Source organism: Homo sapiens, chromosome 19 (genome assembly GCF_000001405.40).
Source record: "Homo sapiens chromosome 19, GRCh38.p14 Primary Assembly".
Taxonomy (NCBI): domain Eukaryota; kingdom Metazoa; phylum Chordata; class Mammalia; order Primates; family Hominidae; genus Homo; species Homo sapiens.
The window spans coordinates 3,211,364-3,230,125 of record NC_000019.10 but is presented as its reverse complement, the minus strand read 5'-3'; the positions used below and the strand labels follow the sequence as shown (position 1 = coordinate 3,230,125).

At 55.3% G+C, this 18,762-nt stretch overlaps 1 protein-coding gene across 8 annotated transcripts in view, besides 4 other annotated features; it reads right to left on the bottom strand.

Moving 5' to 3' along the window:
• The window catches only part of CELF5 (CUGBP Elav-like family member 5), a 72,416-nt gene extending 66,951 nt beyond the window's left edge, over positions 1-5,465 (bottom strand). For 6 of the 8 annotated variants that reach the window (XR_430147.2, XR_001753733.2, XM_006722832.2 and 3 more), the window contains exon 1: positions 5,128-5,465. Coding sequence is in view for 4 of the 8 variants with exons in the window: in XM_006722832.2 (XP_006722895.1) it covers positions 5,128-5,386 (259 nt within the window). In the remaining 4 variants the exon portion in view is untranslated. Of the gene's footprint in view, positions 1-4,507; positions 4,849-5,127 lie in introns of those variants that run through there. The other 2 variants (NR_033342.2, XM_006722837.5) reach the window with 1 other exon arrangement.
• Positions 113-652: an enhancer, noted in NCBI's record as "H3K4me1 hESC enhancer chr19:3229472-3230011 (GRCh37/hg19 assembly coordinates)". NCBI's record gives its function as "activates a minimal SCP1, AML or CMV promoter by ChIP-STARR-seq in naive H9 embryonic stem cells {active_cell/tissue: H9 hESC(naive)}" and the evidence as "EXISTENCE:reporter gene assay evidence [ECO:0000049][PMID:30033119]".
• Positions 1,194-1,733: an enhancer, noted in NCBI's record as "H3K27ac-H3K4me1 hESC enhancer chr19:3228391-3228930 (GRCh37/hg19 assembly coordinates)". NCBI's record gives its function as "activates a minimal SCP1, AML or CMV promoter by ChIP-STARR-seq in naive H9 embryonic stem cells {active_cell/tissue: H9 hESC(naive)}" and the evidence as "EXISTENCE:reporter gene assay evidence [ECO:0000049][PMID:30033119]".
• Positions 1,734-2,274: an enhancer, noted in NCBI's record as "H3K27ac-H3K4me1 hESC enhancer chr19:3227850-3228390 (GRCh37/hg19 assembly coordinates)". NCBI's record gives its function as "activates a minimal SCP1, AML or CMV promoter by ChIP-STARR-seq in naive H9 embryonic stem cells {active_cell/tissue: H9 hESC(naive)}" and the evidence as "EXISTENCE:reporter gene assay evidence [ECO:0000049][PMID:30033119]".
• Positions 5,525-5,644: a silencer, noted in NCBI's record as "silent region_9833". NCBI's record gives its function as "represses an Ori minimal core promoter by ATAC-STARR-seq in GM12878 lymphoblastoid cells {active_cell/tissue: GM12878}" and the evidence as "EXISTENCE:reporter gene assay evidence [ECO:0000049][PMID:35858748]".

Genomic DNA, 18,762 nt, shown 5'->3' with positions numbered 1-18,762 from the left:
AGTGTTGTGTGAATGAATGAATGAATGAATGAATGAATGAATGAATGAGTGTGGTCCTACCAGGTGTTTCCAATGGCCAAGGCCTCACTTGCCAATTTGAGGGGTGAAAGAGAGAGACACAAGCCCACTTCAGAGATAACCTCCCGGGTCCAGCCCCAAGCTAAGACCCCTCGGAAGAGCCTCAACAGGTGAGCCCCATAGAAGAAGGGGACCCTGAGCTCCCAAGCCCCTCTGCTCCTTTCCTACCAGGGCAAAAACTCCATCCTCCCTGCACCTGAGCTTCCCTGGAGTTAGCGCCCCTCTGGGCCCTCGCACATTGTCAGGAACACCTTTCCCCGTCAGTGCATCCTCCTCACGCTTCGGGCCTCAGCGTAGTCATGTAACAAGCCCGCTCCCACTGACCAAGCACATACTCTGTGCCCGGCCCCATGCCAACAGCCTCTTCTGTTCTCTGCTCTCCCTGCCACTTCTGCTCTCACCTCCCTCATTTCCTCTGAAACGGGAAGACCCACTGCAGCCTGGAGGGATGAAGACATCTGCCCAAGGCCACAAGACGCAGGGAAACCAGACTCATCTCATCTCCAAGCTCTCAACGACTCTCCTACACTAACTGCCTCCTCCAGGCGGCCCTCCTGGCCTCCACTCCTGCGGGGGCAGGGCCCCCCTCTGGGCTGTCACTGCTGGTGTGTGTTTTGCCATCATATTCCTGAGCTCGGTGCCTTGTAAGCCCAGTTCCCCAGCTGTCTCCGTCCCCTAAACTGGAATCTGGTGGGAGGGGAGGTCTGGATGGGGGGTAGGGATGGCAGATTTTATTTGTTTTGCCCAACCCAGTAGCCCAGGGTCTAGAACAGGGCCTGGTACACAGCAAGCTCTCAATAAATGTTGGTCATACAGGTGGACGGATTAACATCTAGCCCACTCCATCATGAATCCTACAAGGAATTCTGTTCACACCAAATGCCCAGCTCTGCATAAATGCTGGAAAACAGTAGGCGTTCAATAAATGCTCTTTGCCTGAAGCGGGGGGCGGGGGGAGGGAGGTGCAGAAACGATGTCACAGTCACAGGTGTGAGGCTCCGGGGCCTTATGAAAGTCTGTTAAATAAAGGAGAGAATATGCAGCAGGGGAAAACGAGGCACAGAGAGGGGCGCGCTCAGCTTGAAGCCACACAGCACCCCGGCAGGAGTCCTTCCCAGGCGCGCGCCCGCGTACACACACACACACACACACACACACACACACACACACACGCCGGCCAACCCTGCCAGCCACCCCCAGCCCCCTGCCGCTGTCCCCGCCACCACCAGGGGTGCCAACTGCTCCCGCGGTCCCCCCGCCAGGCCGCCCAGCCCGCCTTCTCCCTGGAGCTGGTGCGTCACACGCGGAATCTCACGCCTCAGAGCTCAGCCTGCTACAGCCTCCTCCTCCCCCCCTCCCGAGTCGAGCCGGCAGCTGGTGCTCCCATGGAAACCGCGGGCCCCCACCCGGGCCCCCGCCGGGCCCCCCCCCCACCTGCACCGTCCCCCAGCGCAACCTCCGCTTTAAGACAAATATTGTCATTAACATGCAAATGTATATGCGATTACCATAAACGGGGGGCCCAGTGGCAGCGGCGGACCAGTACCACCGTGGGCACCTTCCCCTGGCAGGGTGGGCACCCAGGCAGCCACCATCCATAGACAGGGGCAGCCACAGCTCCAGAGGTGCCTGCCTTGGAGGGAGGGTCCCCGGGGCAGGAACTGCAGGGGGGCCAGCGGGAGCCCCAATCCCAGCCTCCAGTTCTTGGCCTGAGCCCCTGGCCTGGGGTGGGGGTCCTTCCTGGGGGAGGTCCCCGCTCTCTGGATGCGGAGTTCTGGCAGGAGCAGGCTTGTGGTCTTCCTGTGGGCCTGCATCTCTCTGCAGCCCCCTCCCTGTCTGTGTTTCTCTGTCTCTGTCTCTCTGTGGGTCTCTCTGTCTCTCTTTCCCTGCGTGTCTCTCTCTCTCTCTCTGTGTCCTCATCTCTCTCTCTCTCTCTCTCTTAAAAACAAACCCAGCGCCCCAGGGCCTGCCCTCTTTCGGAAGACCACCTCGACGCATCCCTCTCCCCCTACCCCTGCCCCGCTCCTGGATGAGGCCTCCTGCCTTTCTCTGAGTCTCAGCACGGCCTCTAGGAATCTGGCTGCCCCCACGCCACCTTCGGCCAGGCCAGCTGTGGCTGTCAGGTGTCACGGGCCCCTCCATCCCCAGCACCATCTCTGGGGGCCTCACTCTTGGCTTTGGGGAACCTGTCACCCCTATGTCACACAGATACAGGCACAGCTGCTTCTCCTGGCCTGGGAGGAAGGCAGGGGGGGTAATGGGGGCCTAGCTCCGGTAAATGTGGGACCCAGGGTATGTCTCTCAAGCCCTCAGTTTCCCAGAAATGCGCTGTCACTCGGAGCCCACCTCCATGGCGATGGGTTCCATGGGGAAATCAAACAAGTCCCTGCAGCCTGGACACCAAGGAAGGGCTAGAGGTGGTACCAGCTGACCCCCTCCGGGCTTGTACCAGGAGCCGGGTGCACCTCCAGGGTGTTCTCATCCCACCCCACTCTACTCCTTACAGATCTCCTGTGCCCAGTCTCATGGGCCCCGCCGGGCATCCAGGGAAAGGGATTTCTCTCCAGGCCTGGGGTCCATATCCCCAAGGCCCTGCCACTCTGAACAGGCACACTAAACCACGCCAGGGCTCCCAGAAACAGCCCTAATAAGGTCATGTTGGTGGCAGGTGTCTGAACTCACTCCTCTCCCCAAAAATCCTGACTTCCCATTCACCATTCCACCTCCCTTCAGCCAAGGCCCAGAGAGGGCCCAGAGAGGGGCAGTCACTAGCCAGAAGTCACACAGCTGAGCCCCAAACGCAAACCTGGATCACAGATGCTGATTCTGAAGACACCCCCCCACCCCTTCGTGCCAAGCACCTGCAGGCAAAGACCAGGTGAAGTCCAGCCAGGCCCCACGCAGGTGGGGATTCACTTCCCCGAGGGTACTGGACCCATTTTCGACACGAGGTGAAGCCCCTGTATCTCACACACAGACGGACCTGGGACCCCTAAAAAGTGGAGGGTGATTGCCGGCTGTCGTGCACACGGCTTCTCAATTCTCACCCTCCAAGGAAAGCCCGCAAATGGGAAATACCCCCGAGGTACCCCAGGGACCCCAACATTCTCCAACCTGTAAAAAAAGAACTGGGGATGCGTCATGGTCCTGCTCTGTTGACAGCAGGGAAACTGAGGCTCAGGGCCAGGTGAAAACCCAGCCCCAGCCCCTCCTTCACCCCTCACTTCTCCCGTGCCCAGGTTTCCCAGAGATTTAAAAATAAGAAGGAAAAAAAAAAAAAGATGAAGAAGAGTCACCAGGATGCTCCAGTCCCTGCACCCCCACCTGTCTCTCCGACCTAGAGCTCAACCAGCGGCCTTTCAATGCAACCGTTTGGGGGGCCATGTGGACTCCCCCATTCCCACGGGAATCTTTCTAGAAATGGGTGCTTTGGGTGTACCCAGGGGTGGGGGCGTGTGGGAAAAGCCCACCTATCACCTCTGGACTCCAGATATTGACTTATGGGGGCCGCATGGGAGCCCCTCTGCCCTCCTAGGCCACATGGAGGAGTTAGATTTTTCAGGCCCAATTTTGTGTGTGTGTGTGTGTGTGTGTGTGTGTGTGTGTGATGGTTGGTTTTGAAAAGAGATGGGGAATGGGGAGGGGTTTCTTTCCTCCCTCAAGATAACCAGCTGGAGGGTCTAGCTGAAGTGACAGGCCTGGGCCCCATCTCACCAGACCCTCCCTAGGGCCTTCTTGAACCCCTTCATTCATTCATTCATTCATTCATTCATTCATTCAATTCATTCATTCAATAAACATGCATTCATGCTTACCGGGCACGCAGCGCTGGGGAAAAAGTGGGTGTAAAATAGGTCATGGGCCCCGGTCCTTCCCCAAGGCCTCTCCAGGGTCTTCCTGGAGGATGGGAGGGGGAGGGCCGGGGGTGTCCAGCACAAGGCCTTTGAAGTGGCACCCCCAGTCCCCAACACCTGACCGGAAGGCTGTCAAAGCCACCCCAATTCAGACGCTGGGCCCATGATGGGAACCAAGGGCTGGGGATACAATTGCCGGACACCCCCACCCGGGATGCCATCGGAGGGAGAATCCAGTGGGAGGGAGGCAGACAGGCCTGAGGCCGCCCACGCCTCCCTCCTCCTCCCTGTCCACCCCAGAATTTGGGCTCTGCCCAGATGGACACGTCCAAGCTCATTGTCTTGGGCCTGAGACCCCAACACATTGCTAAGAGGCTCGGCCAGTTTCAACTTGAGCCCAAGGTGGAGGCGGGGGAGGGGGAGGGCAGAGAAATGGAGGAGAGAATGCTGATCCACGCGGAGGTGGTGGGGCCAGGGGGTGGGCAGCGACGGGAGCCTCTCCGCCACCCGAGGCAGGCGAGGCGGGCGCGTCCCCCCGAGCCGGGCGCCCCCAACCCGTCTTCCTTTGTAGTTACCGATTAGCCTGGGGTCCTGGGCATCCGTGTCCCCCGCGGCCGGACCTGCCCCGCCGGCCTGGCTTTGTGAAAATAACCAAAGCAATGGAGTCCGCAGGTGCAAACTTCCCCGACGGGGCCTGGGGAGGCTGAATGAATGGGGGTGGGGGGGCAGGGAGGGGTGCCGGCGTTCCCGAGGCTCCCCTGGCAAACGGGCAGGAAAGAGTGGGGTGAGGGAGGGAGGAAGGGGTGGGGGTCTGGGGGATGGAAGGGTGAGGGAGGGAGGGAGGGAGAGAGAGGGTGCTGTGGGGGGAAGGATGAGAGGTCGAGGGAGATGGGAGAGAAGAGAAAGGGAGAGAGAGAGGGAGAGAGAGAGGGAGAGAGAGAGGAGATGCCGGAAGGTGGGGAGGGAGGGAGAGGGGGCGGAGGAGGGGAGGGGGCCCGCTCGGATCTGTCAGCTGCACCCCCAGAGAGGGGAGGAGGGGTGGGTGGGAGGGAGGGGGTAAGAACCGATGCTCCGGCAGAGGCAGGCAGAGGAGGGAGGTGAGCAGAGGAGGGATGGTGATGGGGGAGAGAAGATGCCGGAAGGTGGGGTGGGAGGCGGAGGGAGGGGGAGAGGGGGGAGGGGGCCGGGCGCCCACCTTTGTGCATCCCCGTGTAGGGGTCTTTGAGCACCGTGAGCTCGTAGATGCGGCCGAACTGCTCGAAGAGCGGCTTGAGGTCCTTCTCGTCCAGGTGCCGCGGGATCTGGCCCACGAAGAGTTTGATGGCGTCCAGGTCCTTCATGCCGTCGGGCTGCCCCCCGGGGGGCTCGGGCCCGCTGCTGCCCACGGGCGAGGGCCGCGGCTGCAGGAGCTGCTGCTGCTGCCGGCGCGCCTCGCTCTCCGTCAGGCGGGCCATGGCGGGCGCGGGACCGAGCCGGCGGCGGCGGCGGCGGGCGGCGGGCGGACTCGCAGCTGGAGCGGCGGCCGCGCCTCCCGCCTCCCTCCCGGGCCCCCGCGCCCTCCTCCCGCCCGCGCCCGCCCCGGCATCGGGACCACAAAGGCGGCTCCGCAGCGGCCCCTGGCGGCCGCGCCGCGCGGGGCAGCCGGCGCCTCCCCGCATCCCCGGGCCGCGGGGGGAAACTGAGGCCGGAAGGCCCCGGGCCCCGCCTACGGGTGGGCGAGGGCGGAGCTGCGGGCGGGACGGGCCTTAGCCGGCTTCCCAGGGGTCCCCGCCGGCTCCCGCGGAGGGCATCGGCCGGAAGAATGTCAAAAGTTGCTGGGATAATGTAGGGGGCTTGTCGTTGAAAGCGCCCGTGATCCTTAAAGTAGGTAACTCATCAATAATATTAATAACACTAATAATATGGCTGGGCGCGGTGGCTCACGCCTGTCATCTCAGCACTTTGGGAGGCCGAGGTGGGTGGATCACTTGAGGTCAGGAGTTCGAGACCAGACTGGCTAACACGGTGAAACCCCGTCTCTACTAAAGAATACAAAAATTAGCTGGGCTCGGTGGCGGGGGGTGCCTGTAATCCCAGCTACTCGGGAGGCTGAGGCAGGATAATCACTTGAACCCAGGAGGCGGAGGTTGCAGTGAGCCAAGATTGTGCCATTGTACTCCAGCCTGGGCAACAAGAGCAAAACTCCGTCTTGGTAAAAAAAAAAAAAAAAAACACCTAATAATAACAACACTAATAATAATTAATCAAGAGCAAGACAAAGTGCTCCCACTAATCACGACAGCACAGGAGAAATGGTAAAAGTATCTTCCAGTTCTATAGGGTGCTTACACATAGAAAGTGTCCTTGGCCCTTTAAGTATGTAACTCATCAATAATGTCATCAACAAGGAGGGAGACTGGCTCGCACTGATAATGACAGGATAGGAGAAATACTGAAGTATCTCCCAGCTCTAAAGTGCCCGTGATCCTTTACGTATGAAACTCATCAATAATATTAATAAAAATAATAATACGTGCTGGCCGTGGTGGCTCACACCTGTAATCCCAGCACTTTGAGAAGCAGAGTCAGGAGGACCACTTGAGCCCAGGAGTTGGAGACCAGCCTGAGCAACATAGTGAGACGCCATTGCTGTAAAAAATAAGAAAACAGGCCAGGCACGATGGCTCACACCTGTAATCCCAGCACTTTGGGAGGCTGAGGCAGGTGGATCACCTGAGATCAGGAGTTCGAGACCAGCCTGATCAACATGGAGAAAACTCTGTCTCTACTAAAAACACAAAAATTAGCCAGGCATGGTTGTGCATGCCTGTAATCCCAGCTACTCAGGAGGCTGAGGCAGGAAAATCGCTTGAACCCGGGAGGCGGAGATTGCAGTGAGCCGAGATTGCGCCATTGCACTCCAGCCTGGGCAACAAGAGTGAAACTCTGTTTGAGAAAAAAAAAAAAAAAAATCAGCCAGGAGTGGTTGGTGTGCACCGTTGGTCCCAGCTACTCGGAGGCTGCGGTGGGAGCATCGGTTGATCCCTGGGATATTAAAGCTGCAGTGAACCAGGATCGCACCACTGCCTCTGGTCTAGGCGACAGAATGAAATCTTGTCTCAAAAAAAAAAAAAAAAAAAACACTTCCCAAAGATGTCCCATAATTAAAGCCCAAGTCCTTCTTGAGGCCCACAAGGCTCTGCGTGTCCTGTTCTGCCTTGTCCCCACCTTCCCCTGCTCCCTCTCTCCCCCTCCTCACTGCTGCAGCTACACAGGCCTCCTCGCTGTTCCTCTCACTTGTCAGGTGCGGTCCTGCCTCAGGGCCTTTGCACGGGCTGTACCCTTTGTCTGGGATGTGCTCTCCCCAGATGATGTGTGGCTCATTCCTTAATTCCCCATCACTTTCCCCATCTACCTTATCTAAAACCGCTCAGTCACCATTATCTCCTTTCTCAGCCTTCTTTTTCCCTCCACAGAGTTACACCCATTTAAAATTTTATTTTCATTTTTATTTTTATTTTTTTCGAGATGGAGTCTCTCTCTGTCGCCCAGGCTGAAGTGCAATGGTGTGATCTTGGCTTACTGCAACCTCCACCTACCAGGTTCAAATGATTCTCCTGCCTCAGCCACCTGAGTAGCTGGGATTACAGTTGCACCCCACCACACCCAAATAGTGTAAAATTTTATTAACGTACTTATTTATTTATTTATTTATTATTGAGACAGAGTCTCGCTGTGTCACCCAGGCTGGAGTGCAGTGGCATTATCTCGGCTCACTGCAACCTCTGCCTCCCGGGTTCAAGCAATTCTCCTGTCTCAGTCTCCAGTGTAGCTGGGATTACAGGCATGTGCCACCACACCTGGCTAATTTTTGTATTTTTAGTAGAGATGGGTTTCACCATGTTGGCCAGGCTGGTGTCGAACTCCTGACCTTAGGTGATCTGCCCACCTCAGCCTCCCAAAGTGCTGGGATTACAGGCATGAGCTACTGCGCCCAGCCTAAAATTTAATTTTTAATTCTTATTTTATTTATTTTTTGAGACAGGCTCTTGCTGTCGCCCAGGCTGGAGTGCAGTGGTGCAATCTCGGCTCACTGCAACTTCCACCTCCTGGGTTCAAGTGATTCTCATGCCTCAGCCTCCTGAGTAGCTGGGATTACAGGCTCCCACCACCACACCTGGCTAATTTACAATTTTATTTATTTATTTATTTATAAGGCAGGGTATCGCTCTGTCACCCAGGCTGGAGTGCAGTGGCATGATCATAGCTTGCTGCAGCCTTGACCTCTTGGGCTCAAGCGATCCTCCTGCCTCAGCCTCCAGAGTAGCTGGGACCACAGATGTCCATGCCACCATGCCTGGCTAATTTTTAAATTTTTTGTAGAAATGGAGTCTTGCTATGTTGTCCAGGCTGTACGCAAACTTCTGGGCTCAAGCAATCCTCCCGCCTCAGCCTCTCAAAGTGCTGGGATGACAAGTGTGAGCCACCATGCCTGGCTTTAGAGGACATTTTGTGCTCCATCCAGCCAATGGAACACGACTCAGCCATGAAAAAAAAAATGAGGCTCTGACCCAAGCCATACCTTGAGCACATCATGCTTGGTGAAAGATGTCAAACACAGAAGACCACACAGCGTGTGACGCCATTTGTATGAAATGTCCACCCGCGTTAGAGGGGGAACTGAGGCCCAGAGAGCTCCAGTGGCTGGTGCAAGACCACACGGTAAGAGAGCTGGGATGTAAACCCAGGAAGCCAGACTCTGGAGCACACACACTTCCCACCATCCCATACCATCTCCCCACACATCAGGCAGCTGAGCCCCAGTTTCCTTATTTGCCAAGCAGGACTAAAGAGAGAGGAGAGGGACCGGGCACGGTGACTCACACCTGTAATCCCAGCACTTGGGGAGGCCAAGGCTGGCAGATGATCTGAGGTCAGGAGTTCGAGACCATCCTGGCCAGCGTGGCAAAACCCCATCTCTACTAAAAATACACAATTAGCCGGGCGTGGTGGCATGCACCTGTAATCCCAGCTACTTGGGAGGCTGAGGCAGAATCGCCTGAACCTGGGAGGTGGAGGTTGCAGTGAGCCGAGATCGCACCACTGCACGCCAGCCTGAACGACCAAGTGAGACGCCATCTCAAAAAAAAAAAAAGAAAAAGAAAAAGAGGATATGGTGAAGGCCCTGGTCTGGTGTGGACTCATGAACTAAAATGTGGGCTTAGCAGAGTGTCTGGGAGCTTAGCTCAGTGAATGGCTATTCATCATTGCTGTTACTGGCAGCCTCCTGGCCACCCCCAGATGGAACAGAACATCAGAACTGGGTGACGAGCAGAGCTGGGCAAGGGGTCAGGGGTTCTCCCACAACATCCTGCCACTCGGCCCAGCACAGACGCAGGTGCTTAGACTCAGCTGAGGCTTGGCCGGGCACAGCGTGGCACTGGGGCTGGTGGAGTCGGCCAGGAGACATAGGCTTCGTCTCCATGGAGACTCAAGCAGGATGCTCAGAGCCCCGTGAGCCTCTGGTGTTCTGGGAGAGTCCTTAATAAGAATTTTAAAAATCACGCCTGGCCGGGCGCAGTGGCTCACGCCTGTAATCCCAGCACTTTGGGAAGCCAAGGCAAGTGGATCACTTGAGGTCAGGAGTTCGAGACCAGCCTGGCCAACATGGTGAAACCCCGTGTCTAAAATTTGGCCGGGTGTGGTGGCTCATACCTGTAATCCTAGCACCTTGGGAGGCCGAGGCAGGCACATCATGAGGGCAAGAGATTGAGACCATCTTGGCCAACATGGCAAAACCCCATCCCTACTGAAATTACAAAAAGTTGGGCGTGGTGGTGTGTGCCAGTAGTCCCAGCTACTCAGGAGGCTGAGGCAGGAGAATTGCTTGAACCCGGGAGGCGGAGTTTGCAGTGAGCCAAGATCGCGCCACCGCACTCCAGCCTGGGCAACAGAGCGAGACTCCGTCTCAAAAAAAAAAGAAAAATCATGCCTGTAATCCCAGCACTTTGGGAGGCCGAGCTGGGAGGACTGCTTGAGCCCGGGAGTTCCACACTAGCCTGAGCTGTAACATAGCAAGACTCCATCTCTACAAAAAATACAAAAATTAGCCGGGTGTGGTGGCAGGCACCTGTGGTTCCAGCTACTTGGGAGGCTGAGGTGGGAGGATCGCTTCAGCCCAGGGAGGTCCAGGCTACAGTAAGCCAAGACTGTACCATCGCACTCCACCCTGGGCAACAAGAGCAAAACTCTGTCTCAAAAGAAAACAAAATCAAAAGAGAAACTCACAAACTCCTATGAGCCAAAGATGCACTTTTTTCAGCCTCTTCCTCCTCTTTCTTCCACCCAAAACAAGAGCCCAACCGAATTCGGGTCTGACTTCTGAGCACTTAAACCCAGCATTCTGCCTCCTGAATTTCATCCGTGGCACAGCTAAGGGGGTGGGTGAGCACGGAGAATAGCGAGGCTGTGAGCCTGGAGAATAGCGAGGCTGTGAGCCTGGAGAATAGCGAGGCTGTGAGCACGGAGAATAGTGAGGCTGTGAGCTTGGGCACATCTGGGTACCACAGGCCGGTCTCCCTGTCTTGTTAGCGGATGCAGTCTGGTGGGCATCGGTCACTGCAGGATGCCCGTGCCATGGATGTTACTGAGGAAGTAAAGCGCGTGGGAGTGGCAGGGCGCGGCGACTCACACCTGTAATCCCAGCACTTTGGGAGGCCGAGGCGGGCAGATCACCTGAGGTCGGGAGTTTGAGATGAGCCTGGCCAACATGGTAAAACCCTGTCTCCACTAAAAATACAAAAATTAGCTGGGCGTGGTGGCGGGTGCCTGTGATCCCAGCTACTCAGGAGGCTGAGGCAGGAGAATCGCTTGAACTGGGAGGCGGAGCTTGCAGTGAGCTGAGATGGAGCCACCGCACTCCAGCCTGGGCCACAGAGCGAGACTCCGTCTCAAAACAAAAAACAAACAAACAAAAAAAAGGAATCTGCAAGCCTTTTGTTCTTCTTCCTCCTCCTTGGCCTCCTTAGGTTTTTCTTTTTTTTTTTTCTTTTTTTGAGACGGAGTCTCGCTCTGTTGCCCAGGCTGGAGTGCAGTGGCACAATCTCGGCTCACTGCAACCTCCGCCTCCGGGGTTCACGCCATGCTCCTGCCTCAGCCTCCCGAGTAGCTGGGACTACAGGCGCCCGCCACCACGCCCGGCTAATTTTTTGTATTTTTAGTAGAGACGGGGTTTCACCGTGTCAGCCAGGATGGTCTCGATCTCCTGACCTCGTGATCCACCCGCCTCGGCCTCCCAAAGTGCTGGGATTACAGGCGTGAGCCGCCGCGCCCGGTCTTTCTTTCTTCTTCTTTTGAATTTTTCTCGTCTTCCCACGACGACCGTGAATCACTTTGGAATCGAGAAAGTCTAAAACTTGAAAACAGGAAGGGAAGCAGAGCCGATTTAGCAGTCACGGCTGTCAGATGGAGGATTTGGGTATCGAAGCCAACACAGCTTATTCTTTTCTCTTCGGTGCTCAAAGGAATTCAGAGCTTCCCAAAGCCAACTGGGCTCACCGGCTGCCTGGTCTCAAACCCACGCCATGCGGCGTCAAGGCGTCTCTGCCTTGCCGGCCAGCACACGGACCCCCTCCCAGGCCCCCAGGCCCGTCCAGCTCAGGGTGACACTGACTATTTATCTGCCACGTACCAGGCACGGTGTCCTCCGTGCACACAGCAGGACCTGTCATCCCCATTTCTCAGAGGGGCAAGTCGAGGCACCCAGAACTTCACAGGATGCAGCTCATGTTTTCCACCTTCATGGATTTTGCCAGAGCTGTGGGCTCCAGGGGCTATTTATCTATTTCTTTTTGAGACGGAGTCCCGCTGTGTCACTCAGGCTGGAGTGCAGCAGTGCGATCTCGGCTCACTGCAACCTCCGCCTCCTGGATTCAAGCGATTCTCCCGCTTCAGCCTCCTCAGTAGTTGGGACAACAGGCGTGCGTCACCATGACTGGCTAATTTTTGTATTTTTAGTAGAGACGAGGTTTCACCACATTGGCCAGGCTGATCTCAAACTCCTGACCTCAGATAATCACCCACTTCAGCCTCCCAAAGTAATGGGATAACAGGCGTAAGCCACCACGCCTGGCTTATTTTTTTTTTTTTTTTTAAACAGTGATAAAATACACATAACAAAATAATACACTTAACCATTTTGTATTTTATTCTTTTGAGACAAGGTCTCGCTTTGTTGCCCAGGCTGGAGTGCAGTGGTTCAATCATAGCTCACTGAAATCTCAACTTCCCGGGCTCAAGTGATCCTCCCACCTCAGCCTCCCGAGTAGCTGGGACACAGGCTCGAGCCACAATGCCAGCGAATTCTTTTATTTTTTGTAGAGATGGGGTCTTGCTATGTTGCTTAGGCTGGTTTTGAACTCCTGAACTCAAGCAGTCTGCCTGCCTCAGCCTCCCAAAGTGCCGGGATTACAAGGATAAGCCACTGCACCCGGTTTCTTTTTTTTTTTTCTTTTTTTTTTTTGAGACAGTCTCGCTCTGTCACCCAGGTTGGAGTGCAGTGGCGTGATCTCAGCTCACCGCAACCTCCACCTCCCAGGTTCAAGCAATTCTTGCCTCAGCCTCCCAAGTAGCTGGGATTACAGGTGCCCGCCACCATGCCTGGCTAATTTTTGTGTTCTTAGTAGAGACGGGGTTTCGCCATGTCGGCCAGGCTGGTCTCGAACTCCTGACCTCAGGTGATCCACCCGTCTTGGCCTCCCGAAGTGCTGGGATTACAGGCGTGAGTCACTGTGCCCAGCGTGACCTACTTCTAAGTGCACAGTTCAGCAGCGTTAAAAACACATTCACGTGGCTGTGCAACCATCACCTCCACCCTCTCCAGAACTTTATCTTCCCAAACTGAAACTCTTTGAGTCTATGAAACACTCACTCCCCATCTCCCTCCCCAGCCCCTGGCATCCCCATCCTACTTTCTGTCTCTGTGAATTTGATGACTCCAGGGACTTCCTAGGAGTGGAATCACACGGCATTTGTCCCTCTGTGTCTGGCTTCTCTCACTGAGCCTGAGGTCCTCAAGATGCCTCCGCACTGTAGCCTGCGTCAGGATTCCCTTCCTTTTCATGGCTGAGTAATATTCCACTGTGTGGATGGACCACAGTGTGTTGATCCATTTTTCTGTCCACCACCCCTTGGGTTGTTTCCACCTTTGGGGTTATTGTGAATTGTGCTGCTGTGAACATGGGTGTACAAATATCTCTGTGTCCCTGTTCACGGTGACACTGTTCACGGTGTCTGCCATACACCCAGCAGGAACTCTCATCCCCATTTCTCTGAGGGGGCAAGTCAAGGCACCTGGAATTTTGCAGGATGCAGCTCATGCCTTCCGTTTTGCTGGGAATATACCCAGGAGTGGGAATGCTGGCTCTTATGGCAATTCTATTTTTAAATTTCTTTTTTTTTTTTTTGAGATAGAGACTTGCTCTGTCACCCAGGCTGGAGTATAGTGTCACGATCTTGGCTCACTGCAACCTCCACCTCCTGGGTTCAAGTGATTTTCCTGCCTCAGCCTCTCGAGTAACTGGAATTATAGGTGCATACTACCACACCTGGCTTTTTTTTTTTTTTTTTTTTTTTTTAGAGAGACGGAGTCTCACTCTGTCACCCAGCCTGGAGTGCAGTTGCAGCGATCTTGGCTCACTGCAAGCTCTGCTTCCCGAGTTCACGCCATTCTCCTGCCTCAGCCTCCCGAGTAGCTGGGACTACAGGCACCTGCCACCACGCTGGGCTAATTTTTTGTATTTTTAGTAGAGACGGGGTTTCACTGTGTTAGCCAGGATGGTCTCGATCTCCTGACCTCGTGATCCGCTCGCCTCAGCCTCTCAAAGCGCTGGGATTACAGGTGTGAGCCACCGCGCCCGGCCACGCCTGGCTAATTTTTGTATTTTTAGCAGAGATGGGGTTTCACCATGTTGGTCAGGCTGGTCTTGAACTCCTGACCTCAAGTGATTCACCTGCCTCGGCCTCCCAAAGTGCTGGGAAAACACGCTTTTTTTTTTTTAATGGTAGCCATCCTAATGGGTGTGAGGGGCACCAGTACTATTTGATGTTTTCCTTGATATCAATCAGCTCTTTTAAAAATGCTTAATTTGCGGCCGGGCGCGGTGGCTCACGCCTGTAATCCCAGCACTTTGGGAGGCCGAGGCGGGCGGATCACGAGGTCAGGAGATGGAGACCATCCTGGCTAACACGGTGAAACCCCATCTCTACTAAAAGTACAAAAAATTAGCCAGGCGTGGTGGCGGGCACCTGTAGTCCCAGCTACTCGGGAGGCTGAGGCAGCAGAGTGGCGTGAACCCGGGAGGCGGAGCTTGCAGTGAGCCGAGATCGTGCCACTGCACTCCAACCTGGGCGACAGAGCCAGACTCCGTCTCAGAAAAAAAAAAAAAAAGCTTCATTTGACCAGGTGGCTGGCGTGGTGGCTCACGCCTGTAATCCCACTACTTTGGGAGACCAAGGCAGGAGAATCGCTGGAGCCCACGAGTTCCAGACCAGCCTGCGCAACAAAGAGAAACCCTATCTCTACAAAATTACAAAAATACAAAAATAAGCCGGGCGCGGTGGCACATACCAGCAGTCCCAGCTACTTGGGAGGCCGAGGTGGGAGGGTCGCTTGAGCCTGGGAGGTCTAGGTTGCAGTGAGCCATGATTGCGCCACTATACACCGGCCTGGGTGACAGAAAACACCTTACTATCTCTTAAAGGAAAATTTACACCACTGGCTGAAAAAAAAAAAAAATTAGCCAAGCATGGTGGCGGGCACCTGCAAATTCCAGCTACTCGGGAGGTTGAGGCAGGAGAATCACTTGAACCCAGGAGGCGGTGGCTGCAGTGAGCCAAGATCACGCCACTGCATTCCAGCCTGCGTGACAGGGCGAGACTCTGTCTCAAAAGAAAAAGAAAGAATTAAATGTCTAGCGTGGAATCAGGGAGGCTGGGCGGTCTCCAGGCTCTTCCAGTGTCTTCTCCCCAGCCCAGGAGGCAGGCCGGCTCCCTGGCTACTCGCTCCCGCTGGGGCTCATCCTCACCTGCTCTGTGGCCTCAGGTAAGTGCCGTCCATCTCTGGACACTGGTTATCCCGGTGACCTAAACCTGGGCCCTTTTCGCCCACTCCACTCAGTATGTGGCTAATGGCGTGGCCCTCAGATTCGTCCAATCCACGTCTGAACCCCTTGTGCTCGGCCTCCATGTTACCATCTGTAACATGAGCATCTGAAAAGCAATTACCCAAGTCTGGGCGCGGTGGCTCACACAGGTAATCCCGGCACTTTGGGAGGCCGAAGCAGGTGGATCACCTGAGGTCAGGAGTTTGAGACCAGCCTGGCCAACATGGCGAAACCCCATCTCTACTAAAAATAACAAAAATTGGCCAGGTTCAGTGGCTCACGCCTGTAATCCCAGCACGTTGGGAGGCTGAGGCAGGTGGATCACGGGGTCAGGAGTTCAAGACCAGCCTGACCAACACGGTGAAACCCTGTCTCTACTACAAATACAAAAATTAGCTGGGTGTGGTGGCACGCACCTGTAATCCCAGCTACTCAGGAGGCTGAGGCCGGAGAAACACTTGAACCCAGGAGGCAGAGGTTGCAGTGAGCCGAGATTGTGCCACTGCATGCCAGCCTGGGTGACACAGCAAGACTCCATCTCAATAAATAAACAAATAAATAAAAATAAAAAAATTAGCCAGGCATGGTGGCGGGTGCCTGTAATCCCAGCTACTCGGGAGGCTGAGGCAGGAAAATCACTTGAACCTGGGAGGTGGAGGTTGCAGTGAGCTGAGATCGTGCCACTGCACTCCAGCCTGGGCAGCAAAAGCGAAACTCCGTCTCAAAAAAAAAAGCAAAAAAAAAAAAAAAAAGCATCTACCCAGGGGCCCAGGCGCGGTGGCTCACACCTGTATTCCCACAGCTTTGAGAGGCTGAGGCGGGAGCATCACTTGAGGCCAGGAGACAGAGGCCAGCCTGTGCAAATAGCAAGACTCCATCTCTACAAAAAATATAAAAAATGAGAAAGATGCATAGAGTGGACAGCACCTCTGGAGAGAAACTGTGCTGGTTTCAAGGGACATTAGCTGATGTTTTATCAACTTAAAAGGCCTCCAGGAAGAGATCATGGCCCCTGGACCTGGCCTCTGGGAGGTAGTACAATACCCTTGCTGGGGGGACGTCTTTGTCTTCCTCGTTCACTGCTGCCCAGGGTTGACCGGGGCTAAGGTGAGGCCTGAGGGCACCGAGGGAGCCCCGGAAAGAGGCCTCACATGTGCCCAACACGGGCAGCTCGATGTCATTTCCTTTCTTTTTTTTTTTTTGAGACAGAGTCATGCTCTGTCGCCCAGGCTGGGGTGCAACGGCACGATCTAAGCTCACTGCAACCTCCGCCTCCTGGGTTCACAGGATTCTCCTGCCTCAGCCTCCCGAGTAGCTGGGACTACAGGTGCGTGCTACCACGCCCGGCTAATTTTTGTATTTTTAGTAGAGACGGGGCTTCACCATGTTGGCCAGGTTGGTCTCCATCTCTTGACCTTGTGATCCGCCTGCCTTGGCTTCCCAAAGTGCTGGGATTACAGGTGTGAGCCCCAGCGCCCGGCCTCGTTTCATTTTCATAACTGTCCTCTGGCTGCCGGTGACCTTTCCAGATTCAGTGAAGGTCAGACACCATTTCTGCTCTCCTTACCCTCCCCTTCCCCCAGGAGGCCCTGCATGGCCTGAAACCTCCCTGCTTCCTCCCTCTCCCTCCTCCCTCTCCCCTTCCTTTCTCCCCCTCCTCCCTCTCTCTCCTGCCTCACTCTCTCCCCCAGCTCACTCTGCTCCAGCCACATGGGCCTCCTCACTGTTCCTCCAACACACCAGGCGCGATCCTGCCCCAGGGCCTTTGCACCGGCTGTGCTCACTGCCTTAACCACTGTCCCCACATTTCCACATGATGTAATAATCCTTGTCATTCCAATTTCACTCAAAAGCCCCCTCCAGGCCGGGCGCAGTGGCTCACGCCCATAAACCCAACACTTTGGGAGGCTGCGACGGGGAATCACCGGAGGTCAGGAGTTTGAGGCAAGCCTGGCCAACATGGTGAAACCCTGTCTCTACTAAAAATAAAAAAATTTAGCCAGGTGCCTGTAGTCCCAGTTACTCAGGAGGCTGAGGCATGAGAATTGCTTGAACCCAGGAGAAGGAAGTTGCAGTGAGCCGAGAACACATCACTGCACTCCAGCCCGGGTGACAGAGTCAAACTCAAACAGGCCGGGCGTGGTGTCACACCTGTAGTCCCGGCACTTCGGGAGGCCGAGGCGGGCAGATCTCCTGAGGTTAGGAGTTCAAGGTCAGCCTGGCCAATATGCCAAAACCTGATTTCTACTAAAAATACAAAATTTGGTGGCATACCTCTCTAGTCCCAGCTACTCAGGGAGGCTGCAGCAGGAGAATCGCTTGGACCCAGGAGACGAAGGTTGCCGTGAGTCAAGATAGGGCCTCTACACTCCAGCCTGGGTGACAGAGCAAGACTGTCTCAAAAAAACAAACAAGCAAACAAAACAAAACCTCAAAGTCCCTCCTCAGGGAGCCTCCAGTGTGGACTCAATTGTAAAACAGCACCCAGCCATTGATCACCATCTGAAGGCAGCCCACCTACTTGACCACTTATTATCCAACTCCCACAGTGGACTGCGAGCCCCATGGCGTCCAGGCCAGCGTCTCTTGCACACGCCTGTATCCCTGAGCCTGGCACAGGACCTGGCAGAGCAGAGTTCAAGTGTTCGCTGAATCGATAGTTGAATGAAACTAATCCGGCCGGGCACAGTGGTTCATGCCTGTATTCCTAGTGCGTTCAGAGGCTGAAGTGAGAGGATTGCTTGAGGCCAGGAGTTCAAGACCAGCCTGGGCAACATGGCAAGATCCAATCTCTACAAAAATATTTACAAAATGTAGCCGGGCATGGTGGCATTTGCCTGCAGTCCCAGCTACTTGGGAGGCTGTGGCAGGAGGATCACTTGAGCCCAGGTCAAGGCTGCAGTGAGCTATGATTGCACCACTGCACTCCAGCCTGGGTGACAGAGCAAGACCCTATTTTATGTTTTTTGAGTCAAAGTCTCGCTCTGTCGCCCAGGCTGCAGTGCAGTGGCATGATCTTGGCTCACTGCAACCTCCGCTTCCCAGGTTCAATGGATTCTTCTGCCTCGGCCTCCCGAGTAGCTGGGACTACAGATGTGTACCACCACCCCCGGCTAATTTTTATATTTTTAGCAGAGACGGGTTTTCATCATGTTGGCCAGGCTGGTCTCAAACTCTGACCTCAAGTGATCCTCCTGCCTCTGACTCCCAGAGTGCTGGGATTACAGACGTGAAGCCACCATGCCGGGTGTGAGACCCTGTCTCTAAAAAAAAAAAAAAAAAGGAAAAATTACCTGTGTATGTTAGCAGGGAAGATGATGGGCTGGCTTTTCCTCTAAAATGGGGTTTGCCTGGGTCCACGATGGGGCCAAAGCCACCTTCTGCCTGCACAGAGGTGGGCAGCCACTGTCCACTCTTGGCCCTGCTAAGCTCCTGGAGAATCACGCAGGACCCCAAGAAGGTCAAACCCCTGGACCCTAGAGCCCCCTGAACTGGTAAAATTTGGTCCAGGGAGGCACAGCCCCCATGCCCCAGGGCCACACAGCACGTGGGGGCCGAACCTGGCCTCTGCTCGCCGCCCAGGGAAGCCCAAGCACTGCCCCCACCATTCCATCCCCAGTGGCCAGCGGCCCCATGCTCCGGGGTCAGGTAAGCACTGCCCCCGCCATTCCATCCCCAGTGGCCAGCGG